We start from the raw sequence: 15,725 nt of genomic DNA, 5'->3' as shown, positions 1-15,725 counted from the left end.
AGAGAAAGTTTGAGTAGCCTGGAGAGATCAAACATTCCCTTAGGCCAAGCCTAACCAAGAGCAACACCCTAACTCTCTTCACTGCTATGAAGGCTGAATGAGGTGAGGAAGCCGCAGAAAAATAATTGGAAGCTAGCAGAGCTTGGCTCATGAGGTTTAACAAAACAAGCAGCCTGTATACAATAAACGTGCAAGGTGAGGCAGCAAGTGCTGATATAGAAGCTGCAGCAAGTTATCCAGATCTAGCTAAGATAATTGATGAAGGTGGCTACACTAAAGAAAAGATGTTTATTTAGATAAAACAGCCTTCTCTTGGAAGAAGATGCCATCCAGGATTTTCATAGCTAAAGAGGAGAAGTCAATACCTGACTTCGAAGCTTCAAAGGACAGGCTGACTCTCTTGTTAGGGATTAATGCAGCTGGTGAATTTAAGTGAAAGCCAAAGCTCATTTACTATTCTGAAAATCCTAGGGCCCTAAGAATTATGCTAAATTTACTCTGCTTGTGCTCTCTCATTGGAGCAATAAAGCTTGGATGAAGCACATCTATTTACAGCATAGTTTACTGAATATTTTAAGTCCACTTTTGAAACTATTGCTCAGAAAATAAGATTCATTTAAAAAATTACTGCTTAAGGCCAGGCGCGGTGGCTCAAGCCTGTAATCCCAGCACTTTGGGAGCCTGAGGCGGGCGGATCACAAGGTCAGAAGATCAAGACCATCCTGGCTAACATGGTGAAACCCCATCTCTACTAAAAATACAAAAAATTAGCCGGCGTGGTGGCGGGCGCCTGTAGTCCCAGCTGCTCGGGAGGCTGAGGCAGGAGAATGGCATGAACCTGGGAGACGGAGCTTGCAGTGAGCCGAGATCACGCCACTGCACTCTAGCCTGGGTGACAGAGCAAGACTCTGACTCAAAAAAAAAAAAAAAAAAAAAAGAATTACTACTTAACTTAATGAACCTGGTCACCCAAAAGCTCTGATGAATATATACAAGATTTATGCATTCATGTCTGTTAACACAACATCCATTCTGCAGGCCCATGGATCAATAAGTAATTTCAACTTTCAATTCTTATGATTTAAGAAGTACATTTCCTAAGGCTATAGCTGCCATAGATAGTGATTCCTCAGATGGAGGTGGGCAAAGTAAATTGGAAACTTTCTGGAAATAATTCATGATTTTAGATATCATCAAGAATATCTGTTATTTGGCTGGGCGCGGTGGCTCACGCCCGTAATCCCAGCACTTTGGGAGGCCAAGGCGTGCGGATCACGAGGTCAGCAGTTCAAGACCAGCCTGACCAAAATGGTGAAACCCTGTCTCTACTAAAAATACAAAAATTAGCCAGGCATGGTGGCGGGCGCCTGTAGTCCCAGCTACTTGGGAGACTGAGGCAGGAGAATTGCTTGAACCCGGGAGGTGGAGGTTGCAGTGAGCCGAGATTGCTCCACTGCACTCCAGCCTGGGTGACAGAGCCAGACTCCGTCTAAAAAAAAAAGAAAAAGAAAAAGAATATCTGTCGTTCATGGGAGGAAGACAAAATATCAGCATTACTAAGAGTTTGGAAGAAGTTGATTCCATCCCTCATGATGACTTTGAGGGGTTCAAGACTACAGAGGAGGAAGTAACTGGAGATGTGATGCAAATAATAAGAGAGGAGCTGCTTCTTATGAATGAGCAAAGAAAGTGTTTTTTTGAGATGGAATCTACTGGTGAAGATGCTGTGAACATTGATGAAATGACCACAAAGGATTTAAAATATATTACATAAACTTAGCTAGTAAAGCTGCAGGACGGTTTGAGAAGATCGCCTTCAGTTTTGTAAGTTCTTCTGTAGGTAAAACGCTGTTAAACAGAGAAATCTTTTGTGAAAAGCAGAGTCAACTGATGCTGCAAGTTCATGATTGTCTTATTTTCAGAAATTGCGACAGCCACCCCAGCCTTCAGCAATCATCACGCTGATCAGTCAACAGCCATCAACATCAAGGCAAGACTCTCTACTAGCAAAACAATTATGACTTGCTGAAGTCTCAAAGTAGCATTTTTAGCAGTATGTTTAAAGTATGTACATTTCTTTAGACATAATGGTATTGCACATTTAATAGGCTACAGTATAGTGTAAACATAACTTTTTTATGAACTAGGAAACCAAAAAGTTCATGTGACTCACTTCATTGCAATATTCATTTTATTACAGAGATCTGGGACTGAATCGGCAATATCTCCAAGGCATTCCTGTTGTGTTTTTGGGAAATTTGATGGTGTAACATGTCATTTAAAAATTTCAGCATCCTAGTACTATATTTTGAATGAAATCATCATAATGAACTATTAAAACTGCCACTTCTTTCCCAATAGCAATTGCATCCATCTGTCATCAGTTTGGATTCCTTTTGTGTGCGTGTATGTCTGTGAATGCATTAGAATGTTTTCCTTTGAGTAAGACACTGGAGTAAGCTATCTAACTCATTTGTGCAGAAACTTTTAATGAGTGCATTCTTTAGATATATTATATTCTGTCCCATTAATCATTTAATCAGGCTTCTATTGTATTTTGCAAATCTCCAAACAGAAAATCCTGTGTGTGATGCCTTTCTTTGGTCTATGTCTCCTTGCAGTATTATACTTCAAAAGTACTTCCTAGTAGTTAGATGGCTAAATCAGAACCAAGTTCCGGAATTAAAAGAATACATTAAAAGCCTGTAATCCTAGCACTTTGGGAGGCCAAGTTAGGCAGATCATCTGAGGACAGGAGTTAGAGATTAGCCTGGCCAACATGGCGAAACCCCATCTCTACTAAAAATAAAAAAATTAGCCTGGTGTGGTGGTGCACACCTCTAATCCCAGCTACTCGGGAAGCTGAGGCAGAAGAATTGCTTGAACTTGGGAGGCGGAGATTGCAGTGAGCCAAGATCATGCCACGGCACTCCAGCCTGAGTAACAGAGCAAGACTCCGTCTCAGAAAATAAAATAAAATATAAAATAAAATAAAATGAAATAAAATGATGGAATACAGGATTAAATCATTAAGCTAAAATACTAAGGAAACTAGGCCAACCAGGGACTAATTTTTCTGTCCCAGGGCCTATATGAATTTCTAAACTTTTGGTAACACAAAGAGACCAACATGGAAATAAAGGATCTACTGGAGAAAGTAGAAGAAAAACCTTTCACTTTTATACGTATGTTATGTAGAAGACTAACACCATTAACTATACTAAATTACAAGCTGTAGAATATTACATTGTTTCAACATGTCTGGGCGTGTTTGGGAGACTGGATTTGTGCCAAGACAAGCTCCTGATAATCCAATGGCAGGCGAGGGTGGAATTGTCAATAAAACTATAGAACTTTAAGTTCAAGCTGGAATCTCTGCTACACACACATACATAGAAGCTGCTATCATACCAACATTTATTACATCTTGTCATATTCTGACTGTATGCACACAGGTAGATGTTATTATATCTAAATAAATGTGACCAGAACTAGTAACGGGGAGTTTGTTGATTCTACTATCATCTTAATTGTTAATGTGATGTAGGCTCTTGACAGAGATTCAGGTTCTTGAGAGGGAAAGATACCCTGAAGATTTTTAAATGTGTTTGTTTGTAACACTGTTAAATGTTGTTAAATGTTGTATTTAAGCTTTACTGTCTTACTAATTGATACCCCATTCTCATAAAAGAGTAAATGCCACTGGCATTATGAGTCCTAAGATACAAGAAACACAGCCATTCAAACAATGCCCTGGTGAAAAGCTTAAATTTAAAACAGACCTCATTTATCAGCGTCTCTCATCATTATCATGGTAAATGTCTAATGTGTGTATGTGTAGTGAATTCTTATAATTTCACGTTGCCTCAGAATCCATTTTGAATAGATATTGAACTTTCTCATATCAGAAGCAGGGCTCAGTCTCCCTTGACACAAGTTCCAGTTCCCCACCTCCTCCCAGTTCCTCAGAGTGGTGGCTGATCCAGGCATCTGCTTTATACAACTGCCTCCTGGTTACCACCTCCCTATGGGAGGTAGATACAGTACAATCTACTTGGCTGCCCCCACAGACTCCCACACTCTGCATGGCCTGCACAGATATGCTGCAGCAACCACCTCTTCCACCTCTCAGTCACAGTGTGACTCCATGAACTTGTACCTACTTGCTCTAAACCCACCTGTTAGAATTCCCCGACAAGTTCCTTGCTCTCGTGCTCTCCCTCTGTCTTTCTCTCTCTCCCTCCCTCCCTCTCTGGCTCCCCACCTGCTGGTTGAGCGTGCCTGCGTGTCCCAGATGCCCCACCTCCTTCCTACCAGCCCTCTTCTCTCTGGGATCTGTAAGTGATACACTGCTTTTGTCATGTCATGTATCTTGTTGGCACTGCTTCCCCTGTGTCTCATCTGACCAACACATCCTGAACTTGGCCCACCCCCTGGTCAGGGCTCTTCCAGAGAGTGGCTATCTTGGTAGGAATAAATGACACGGGTCAGACAAGAGCCACTGGGTCATCTTTCAATGTGAGAGGGACACCTGGTCATGGTTGGACACTTAGACATTAGTCTGTCCACCAGGTAGACATACTCTGTGAAAGGCACACTGTAAACACCCACAACCATCTTCCCTGAGGCCCCATCAGGAAATAGGAAAGGCTCAACGTTATAACAACTCTCCAGAGAGAAATCTCAAGACCAAATTAGAGGAAAAAAACAACTGTGTGTGTGTATGTGTGTGTAATCGTACATTCTATTGTATACATATTTTTATATAATACTATAGCATACTGGTATATGAATTACATGATAATATTGTAAGAATTGTATCATAGTATAGGAATTATGAGTAGAAAAAGGTTATTTAAAACTTTGCTTTCAATCTAGAACATCTATGAAATTTGAGGATATTGAAGTGAAATTCTATCACAAGGCCCACCTCCATAAATTTGCTATGTTGCTGGTATTGTTTAACTGAAATGAGAATGATATAAAGCAATCGATGGAGATCAGGACACACTACCCCAAAATATGGCACCTTGGCATTTGACAGAACAGCAGAGGCAGGAAGCTTACTCTAGTCTTTCCCACACTCCTGCTCCCATAAAGCAGGCCATAACACCAGGTTGACCTTCCCCTATAGTAGGTCATAAGACCTTCCTGTGAAAGGTACGAACTCTATAATTGGAGGAAAGGAATGTCCTTATCTCTGAAGATGCAGGCAAACAGGCCTTGCTGTTTCCCCCAGTTTATTACTGTTAGGTCATATTCCCTTTTGTCCAATCATCCTGCACAACTCTGCAGTTTTCATCAAACCTAAACATAAAAAATACACGGCTTCCCTATTTCTTTGGGTTTTCATTTCCTTACAAAGGCTCCTGTGTCATGTGAAACATATTAAATAAATTAGTATGCTTATTTCTTATTAATCTTTCTTTTGTTACAGGGGTCTCAGGCATGAACCTGAGATGAGAGAGAAAAGAGATCTTTTCTCCCTACACAGTAACCCTAGCAGAGAGGACCATATTGTCCAGGTTAGAGCTTTGATGCTGACATGGTAGAAGAGTTGCCACAGTGTAAATACATATTTTTCTGTATGGGTACCTTTATCTTCACAAAAATGGAATCATAGTATACGTATTTGGTGATACCAATTAGTGGTAGGTTGAATCTATGTTATGTGTCCTCCATACCTCTTAGGACAGATTGTATTATTATTACATAAAGATCTACCACATTCTTGTTAGTGGCCTCATATGACAGTGTATGAATTGTCCTAATTTATTCCAGTGGTTTCTAGTTAATGGACATCTATGTTACTTTCCAACTTTATCACAAACAATGTTACAATGAGTAATCACATACATACATCATTTCACACACGAATGACCTATAAGACAAAATCTTCCTACTGGCACTTATCGTTTTTACAGATATTGCCAAATTGTTTCCCATAAAAATGTCATGGTATTATTTTTGTCTTTTTAAAAAAAAATCTACATTTTTCGATAATTTACTGTGTAAATTATCTACGTTTTAGTATCTAATTATCTACATGTAGTTTAACTATCTTTTTTCCTCTAATCTCTTGATTCAGATATAAAATATTTGCTGATTCCTATGAATATGCACAGAATTCAAAGGTATATTCTGTTAAGTAACTAATAGGCAGACACTCCGTATTATTGTTTGAGGATAGAACCATAAGCTTTAACAGTCAGCCAAAGGATTTGTGTTCTATTAGGAAAGTATAAGAAGCCTAAACCAGGGTATGTGCCTCTTTGTGCAAGCAGGTCTAGGGAGTGTCTGCAGAGAGTTTGGCCAATATTCTTTAAACACGCTGGTGGTAGAATGCATTATTGGCTGAAATTCTTCATCTCTTTCTATAACTTGGAGCTTGCCCTGTGATTTGCTAGGTAGTTCCTCTCACTAAAGGTGAAGTTGGCCATTCTATTGGCTTGAGTGGAAGTGACAGTGCGCCAGTTCTGAACCTCGACCTTAAGAGAAGCTGCATACTTTTGCATCCTTTCACCATGAGAAGAGCTTATTGAGGGTACTTGCTGCCCCTTTAATCTGAGCCTCAGAATAAATACACATTGAATAGAGCTATTCCACCCTATCTATAGACTTGCAGTATGAAGCAGAGCCAACCAGGTGCCACAGATCGAGGCTGAACTGCCCTACCCATGAGCAAAATAAATTCTTTTGTTAATTAGCACTGAGCTTTTGGTGATTATTTGTTATATAGCAATAGCTGACTCTTGTAATTGTGCTAGATCAGTTTTCATCATATGGATAAATAGAAAATGGACATTCCCAAGTTTTACCCTATACACTATGGCAATGATAATTTTAGCTTGTAAAGTTTTAAAAGCAAGTTTATCAAGCACCCATTTTGATCATAAAAATATATTAAATACCTAATAGAATGTCTATTGTTGAACAATGAAATTCTGGGTGAAGGCCTGAATAAAACAATAGTAGCAACTATTGGCAAAGGTAAGCCAGGCATTACAGCAGGCATATTACATTCATGTTCTCATTTAACTCTCATCAGTTATGCAAGGTACATGATAATAAAAATGCAAACTCCTGTCAGTGAATGTTGGCCAACTGAGAGAGTTAATTTGCAAATTCCCTTTTCAGTTATGAAATCTTTACCTGGTCTTCTCCATTCTGTTATTAACTAAAGAGGCTTGGAATGAAATTGGCATAACTCTCTGAGGTTTGGAAAGCACACTTGTCAGGTCACATTGCCTAGGGAAATAAGACTTAGTGCCTCCACTTCCTCTTGCAAAAACTTTCTGGGCTTATGACAACTTTTGTAGTTTCCTTTATTTTTTAATTCTTGTGACCTCTTAGTGTTACAGTGATTTAGAAATGAACAGTGATTTAGACTAGAACTGAAGATGTTCAGTCTATTGGCATTCTTACTTACCTGAATGAAAAGCAAAGTCATATTTTATTTGGGCTTCAATGAACCTATTCATTTCAAGTAGTCAATTTTTCCTCTTTTTGCATTATTGAAAAACATGGAAACACTCTTCTGTAAATCGTTCTGTATAAAAAGGGAGTTTATTTCTCATACTTTGATTCTGGGCTGTCCTTATCATATGCATTAACTAAAAGAAAATGTGGTAGAAGTAAAGTTGTGTGACTTCCAAACTAGACCTTAAAAGGTCTCAGGGTTTCTGCCTTTGTTCTCTGGGAATGCTGCCCTGAGACTGACATTGTAAGGCAGCCAGTTTACCTTTCTGAAGATGAGAGGCTACGTGGAGGAGAACCAACATGCCCCAACTGATAGTCATCACCAACGGTCAAATGCGTGCTGGAGGCCATCTTGGACCTCCCAGCAGTATGCCAAGGCAAAAACAGCAGAGGAGCACCCAGACAACTCACAGAATCATAGGAAATAGGAAATGGTTGTTGTTTTAAGCCACTACGTTTTGGGGTGATTGATTACACAACAGTATATAACTCATACTTTTTCTTATTTCTCATAGCATAGTAAAAGGCATTACGTAATTTGGGAAAATGTAGTTAACTAAAGAGAGCAGGCAGGGAGTTCTATGCAGATGGATCATACGGCTTTACTTCACAAACAGGAAAGGGGAAAAGTGAAGAAAATCTTATTGCAGATAGGAAGATGTGAGGGATTCTGCAGGTCACGTAGGTGGCCAATGAGTTGTAGGGGGACAGCTCTGCCATGATGCCCTAGTGGCTTTGCACCTTAGAAAGATCCACATAGCCATGTGGGAAAGGTTTGAATTACTGTCTGACCTACGCCTTGGGAAATCTTCCCTATGGCCTTCCTGGAGCATAAGAGCATGGAGGCTTGCAATGAGCTGCTACAAGTATATTTCTCACTCACTTCCCTAGCTACCTGGGAAACTGACATTGAGAGTTTCTTGTTGCCTCCCAAGTTCAGATGAGGTGTGAGGCTTTCTGCCTCACCCGTTTTAGACAGAGTTGCTGGCTATAGAACTGCTTAGTTACAATCTAGAATTCCCTCCTTGGCAACAGAGTGTACCACAACTCATTTTGCTATCATCCTGCCCTTTTGTTTCAGTGTCATTCTTTCTGCTGTGTGGAACAAGGACCAAGGAAAACTGGTGCCTTTGCTACTTTTTCTTTGCTGTCCATGGAAGCAATAAACAGTCTAAAGCTAAAATGGGCTTACTGTGTCTTTACTGGCCAAATGTCTGAGGCCTTGGACTTGGCCTTAGCCTTGCCTGCTATGTGCTTGACACAAGTTAGTAATGAAATAAAAAAAACTTGTCATTAAGAATTTTAAAAAGAAAAACCATAATTCTATAGTTAAGATGGGAAGAAGATTCAAGTATTTTCTAATATCAGAATAAGTAGATTACATTTTCCCTTCTTTAATCTTCTTTAAAGTATAGAGAATATTACGTGATAGCTATAGCAGAGAAAATAGAAATAATAACTGCAAAATTAAATAGAAATTATTGTATATGTTTTGTTTATCAATTTAGGTTTTTGTTTGTTTGTTTGTTTTATTTTTTTTTTAAGATGGAATTTTGCTCTGTCGCCCAGGCTGCAGTGCAGTGGTGTGATCTTGGCTCATTGTAACCTCCACCTCCCGGGTTCAAGTGACTCTCCTGCCTCAGCCTCACGAGTAGCTGGGACTACAGGTGCCTGCCACCATGTCCAGCTAATTTTTGTATTTTTAGTAGAGACGGGGTTTCATCATATTGGCCAGGCTGGTCTTGAACTCCTGACCTTGTGATCCACCCGCCTTGGCCTCCCACAGTGCTGGGATTACAGGTGCGAGCCACCACACCTGGCTTATCAATTTAGTTTTAAGTGACTTTCTTATTGATTTGTATAATTTCTTTATACAGTAAAGACACTTTCTTGTCATATTTGTTGAAAATGTATTTTTCCGGTTTGTTTAATTTGGGGGCTTTCAGATATCCACATTTCCACAGTTTTATATAGCCAAATCCATGAATCTTTTCATTCAACATTTTCTTCATCTTTATAATTTTAGAAAGCTCTCACTACTCCAGGGTCTTAATAAATCTCTCCTTTTTTATCTTATGACTTAAAAAAATATTGAGTTCTTTAATTCTCCTGGAATTCATTTTGGTAGATAGTGCAAGTTCAACCTCTTACCTTTTTTTTTTTTTCTCTAATGAGCTAACGAACTTTCCTAACACCATCTGTCTCTTAAAACTTAACTTTTCTGTTGAACTTTTAAAAGTTCTTAAAATTTCTTTTCAGATTTACGTGTAGTATAATTTACCTTTTTGATGTGCAGTTCTATAAGGAATATGTTTTCTCTATAAAAAACCTGATTCTCAGAAGTACACAAATATACCTCTGATATTAAGATCTTTAGGGAAGTGCATGGAATTTACAGAAACTTCTAGTGAAAATTCCTATTCCAAGAAGGTTTATAAAACTTAATCAATTTTCTTTTTTTCATTCTCTCCATCACCCATGAATGAGATAGAATACTTAAAGGGTGAAAAATTGGACATCAGAGGGAATAAGAAGAAAAGCAAGGGATCTGAATTATAAATAAGTTAGAGGCTGGTAATCAAAAAGTACTTATGAACACATCCTCTGTTCAAAACCAGAATTTTGTCCACTCCTGTCGGATAGAGAGCTACTTTTGCTCCAAGTAAAAAGCAAACTAAATGAGCCCATTTTTATTAAGAGAATATTTGAGCAAGTAGAATGTGAACAGTGAAAGTCTGGCCTAACTGGTATCTACCTTATGCAGAAATCATTTGATTTTTTTTTTTTTTTTTTTTTTTTTTACAATTAAAGATTTTTAGATTTGTGGCGGCTAATATGGGAATGGGATCCTCAACCATGAATACAAACATAACAATTCAACTGACATTCAGAGTGACCAAGAGCCAGGCGCTATGACAGGCCCAAGTGTCTCCCTGACTCCAGAGAACACCTTTGAAGAATTACTCTCACCTTCACTGTCATAGGTATTTCCACTGCCTCAGCTCACAGTGTTGTAACATGTATCTTTTTTTTTTTTTTTTTTTGAGACGGAGTTTCACTTTGTCACCCAGGCTGGAGTGCAGTGGCACGATCTTGGCTCACTGCAACCTCCACCTCCTGGGTTCAAGTGATTCTCCTGCCTCAGCATCCTGAGTAGCTGGGACTACAGGTGTGTGTCACCACGCCCAGCTAATTTTTTGTATTTTTAGTAGAGACGGGGTTTCACCGCGTTAGCCAGGATGGTCTCGATCTCCTGACCTCATGATCTGCCTGCCTCGGCCTCCCAAGGTGCTGGGATTACAGGCGTGAGCCACCACACCCGGCCTCCAACATGTATCTTAATGTTCATTATTTATCCAATAAGCTTTTTTTGGCTGTTATTCTGTGTTAAGTGCTAGAATCACAAAGATGAGGGAGGGAGGGAGCATGTACACAGAGAAACAAGTGTTGGCATAGTCATATGCAGATTATACTGTGGAACAGGCTAAAGAAGGAACATTTCTCCCTTGGAGAAAGGGTAGGAAGCCAGGCCAGGTGACGCCTGTCTTTGATTCCAGCTACTCCAGAAGCTGAGATGGGAGGATCGCTTGAGCCCAGGAGTTTCAAACCAGCCTGAGCAACATAGTGAGAACCTATCTGAAAAAAAAAAAATGTGTTTAATTAAAAGAAAAAACACAGAAAGAAGGTCCAGCAAATGCAAAGTCATGGAAGTTAGGGTCCATTAGGGCCACTGCAAGTCTGTGTGGTGCTGGGCATCCAAGATAGAAAGGAAGACAGAGGGAAGCAGCCCTGAGAGGCTGGCAAGGGCCAGACTGCCTTCCCCAGGTGCAGGGGTTTGAATTTCATTCTAGAAGCACTAGGAAGCCTCGGGTTTTAAGCAGTGAAGTGGAGGATTAAAGTAGAGAAAACTGAATTTCTTTAGATCTTCTAACGCTAAATCCAATATTCTGTGATATTGAGGTTCCCTCTTTACCCCGTCCTCCTTACTCATCTCTTGAAGCCATTTCTAGACTTCTATTTAATTCATAGCACAAATGTTTAATTCCTTTCGAAAAAAGTTCTGTGGAATCTTTATGGTTCCAGAAGCTTTAGCCTCATTTCTCCCAGTATAATTTTTAAAGCGTCATTTCAAGCATTTTTTTTTCCAGGCCCAGTATCAGGGAAAAATTAGAGCACTGAATTCTTAGATAACTCATGAAAGCTAAGGTTTACTTAGCCCTCTGGCTTTAATCTCTCATAGCCTGATATGAGGCCATGTGTATCTTGTCACCTTTATTCATAAGTTCACATCTTCTTTTACCATCACAAAGAAGAACCAGTCTCTGGACTTTCATGAACCATGCATGAGAGCTTGCAACCATAGCCATTGAGGTAATTGGCTTTTGAAAAATTATGCCTCTATGCCATTTTTTTTCATGCACTGAAGATGAGAACAATACACTCAAGGAGAATAAAATAGGAAAAGGGCTTAGATTTTGAAAGCAGGTGAAAGTTGACCATTATTCATTGTTGTCATAAATGGCCTTATATTTATACCATCATTGTAAAATGGGTTGCTATGGTCCGAATGCATCCTTCCAAAATTTGTAAGTTGAAACTTAATCGCCAATGTGATAGTATTAAGAGCTCGGGCCTTTAAGGGCTAATTAAGTCAGGAGGACAGAGCCCTCATGTATGGGATTAGCAGCCTTATAAAAGAGCTGGAAGATATTAGCTAGGCCCCTTTCCCCCTCCCCCCAGCTTTTTCCCTTCTGGTATGTGAGGACACAGCAACAAGGTGCCATCTTGGAAGTAAAAATCTGTCACCAGATACCAAATCTGTTGGTACCTTGATCTTGGACTTCCTAGCCTCCAGAACTCTGAGAAAATAAATTTCTGTTGTTTATAATTACTCAGTCTAAGATATTATAACATTTAGCCCACTTGAGCTGGGTGTGGTGGTTCATGCCTGTAATCCCAGCACTTTGGAAGGCCGAGGCAGGTGGATCATTTGAGGTCAGGAGTTCAAGACTAGCCTGGCCAACATGGTGAAACCCCAAATCTACTAAAAATACAAAAAAATTAGCTGGGCATGGTGGCGCATGCCTGTAGTTCCAGCTACTCAGGAGGCTGAAGCAGGAGAATCGCTTGAACCCGGGAGATGGAGGTTGCAGTGAGCTAAGACCTTGCCATGGCACTCCAGCCTAGGCGACAGAGTGACACTCCGTCTCAAAAAAAACCCCAACAAAACAAAACAAAACAACAACAAAAACATTTACTCCATTTGCAACACAAATGGACTAAGACACAGATCATTAAAGAAATTTACATCTTCCTAGAACTTTAAGAAGAAAATAGGTAATCATTTGCTAATATGGCCTAGACTAATGGGCCCAACATTTCTGTTCATAGCTACCAAAACAGAGTGTGAAAGAACCCAGGTCCATAAACACTTCTGACCCCAATTGCAAGTTCAGGTGGTCCCCAAGACCACTTTCAAGTTCAATAATTCACTAGGACTCACAGAACTCATTCAAAACTGTTGTTATACTCAGTTATGGTTTATTACAATGAAAAGACGCAGATTAAAATCAGCCAAAGGAAGGAGTGCATAGGGCAGGGTCTAGGCAGGTTCCATGGGCAGGGTTTCCAACTGTCCTCTCCCTGTGGAGTCATGGACAGCATTAACTACTGCTAAGAATGATGTGTGACAATACACACGAGTATTGCTAAACAGGGAAGCTTACTCAAACCTTGATGTCCACAGTTTCTAGTGGGGCTTGGTCATGCCTTTATTCTCCAGTCCCACCAAATGTCACACTGATATTGCATGGCCCCAAGCCCCCACCACACCATACATCACACTGTTAGACTATCCAGTGTGGCCCAACGTCCCCAGGTAAACAAAGATACTCTTATCAGGCAGGACACTGCAAGGGCTCAGAGATCACCTCCTGGGAGCTGAGGGCAAAGACCAGGCCTCTCTTTGGATGAGGTTAAATCTTGCTTTTACAAATTTATAAATTATACACAAGTACTATATACAAGTATAGAATGCACATTAAGCAACACGTAAAGTTGAATTTATTAATGGGATATATACAATGTTAAATAAAAATGCAGTTTTGATATTTCTCCCTGTGCTCCCATGCATCTTTTTGTGCCCTCTGTGGAGTGGGTGCACACCACTTCAGATGCTACTAGTCATTACTATGTTTGAGCCTAAAGCTAGAGAAAATGAATTTAATATCTTTTCCACATTTATAGCCTTGGTAATTTTACAAAAATAAACTTTTTATGATTTACAATGGTGTTTATTCAAAAATGAAGTTTGTCAGCAATATTGAATCATGTTAACCAAATTGCTGCAAAAAAAGTAGAAAGAGAATTAGATCTAGAACAAGAAAGCCTAGGCTTCCTCCCGCCGTGTCACGAAGAGCACTTCTGTGCCTCAGTTATCTCATCAGTAAAATGGGAGCAATAAACATAATGCTTAATATAGGTCAGCTGTTGTTATCATCCAAGGTGTATCTTTAAAAAGAAATCAAGCTTGATAATGTAGAAAAATTGATGTTTTCTTGGAGTAGACTTGGAAAATTCAGTAAAGGGGGGGTAAAAAGAAATTAATATATTAAACACTACCCCCAACAGAGAAAGGTGCACCACCTTGAGAAAGTTCTTAAATTTGTGCTAATATAATAATGTATTAAACGGTGCAGAAATAGTTAACTTGAACAGCTAGTACTAAAAAGGAGGTAATGATTTACCAAACAGTTTTAAAGAAAATAAACATGAGGAAAGCTAAACTGGCTCAGTGTGCCCATGTTAAAAATATTATTAACATTTTAAAAAATATTGCTTAGAGGCCAGGCGCGGTGGCTCATGCCTGTAATTCCAGCACTTTGAGAGGCCAAGGCGGGTGGATCACTTGAGGCCAGGAGTTCGAGACTGGCCTGACCAACATGGGTCAAACCCCATCTCTGCTAAAAATACAAAAATTAGCCAGGCGTAGTCATGGTGAGGCACACTTATAATCTCAACTACTCCAGACAGAGGCTGAGTCACAAAACTGGCTTGAACTGAGGAGGCAGAGGTTGCAGTGAGCAGAGATCACGCCACTGCACTCCAGCCTGGGTGACAGAGCAAGAAAGAGCTTGTCTTTTCAAAAAAGAAAAAAAAAGTATATATATGTTTATATATATGCACACACACATATACACATACACACACAGATATATACATACACACACATATCTCAGAAAAAAAGATGTAAGTTAAGCACGATAAAGTGACAAAGAATTGTGAAATAAAAATCACTTTATTAGTAGTTAACTATGTGAATTTCTCTGGGTCTCAGTTTCCTCATCTGTAAAATGAGGTGATTCAAAGAGAAAATCTATAAAATTCATTCTAGCTAGAAAAATTATCTGCTACTGCAGGGATTTGATCCTCAATAAGGGGATACATACATACTCAGTAGCTGGTAAATAAGACGCACTTTTTCTGTTATTTTACTTTCCTTAAGTGAAAACAAATAGCATCATTAATAAAAAGCTGACATAAGATTTGTCAATCAATGAAGAAACAATTGGAAAAATTGAGAACTAGAAAAAAAATTAGGCATTTTCTCTGAATCTGGCTAATATTATGAGAACTTATAATATGGTGATAGCCTTGGAGAAATTAGAACAATTAAGAACAAAGCAAATTTAAAACTGCTGTTTGGTTTCTTTATAAAAGAAATAAAACCTTAGATGTAAGAATACAAAGGCATAGTCTTGGAATGGGATAAGTAATGGAATAAGAAGGGGCTCTGGAAATTCACAAAAAGATTTCAAAGGAAATGGATTGCATGCAAAAAGAGAGATTATGAAATCAGTGGCAATGCTAAATGACTCAATTCTAAAGAGGTAATCCTGGAACCAGAGGAGTCAATGTTGAACAATGTTGAACCATACTGTCTTAGCTTACAAACATATTGCAAATGAAGTGGACATTTTCTAGAGCCTCACAATATCGTAGTCATTTCTGGAAATGAAAAGTCTTAGACATATGAGTGAAACTAGAGAAATATTAAAAGAGGCAATGAAGTGATAAAACCCCAGAGCATATAAAGAAAGTGAGAAAGAACTAAATTCATAGAGCCTGGAAAAGCAGTAAGTAAAGAAAGAAGGAAAGAAGAGTCTAGGACTGTCAGCATATTGACAGCAATTAAGAAAAATGTGGTGGCAATAAGAGAAAGACAGAAAAAATTAAATTGAGTTTAG

At 39.2% G+C, this 15,725-nt stretch overlaps 1 annotated feature.

The window, feature by feature from the left end:
• Positions 13,249 to 13,543: an enhancer, noted in NCBI's record as "tiled region #2230; HepG2 Activating DNase matched - State 5:Enh, and K562 Activating non-DNase unmatched - State 5:Enh". NCBI's record gives its function as "activates a minimal TATA promoter and a strong SV40 promoter by Sharpr-MPRA in HepG2 cells, with weaker activation in K562 cells {active_cell/tissue: HepG2 | K562}" and the evidence as "EXISTENCE:reporter gene assay evidence [ECO:0000049][PMID:27701403]".

This window comes from Homo sapiens, chromosome 4 (genome assembly GCF_000001405.40).
Source record: "Homo sapiens chromosome 4, GRCh38.p14 Primary Assembly".
In the NCBI taxonomy this organism is placed as follows: domain Eukaryota; kingdom Metazoa; phylum Chordata; class Mammalia; order Primates; family Hominidae; genus Homo; species Homo sapiens.
The sequence above is the reverse complement of the archived record's forward strand: the minus strand, read 5'-3'. Positions and strand labels throughout refer to the sequence as shown.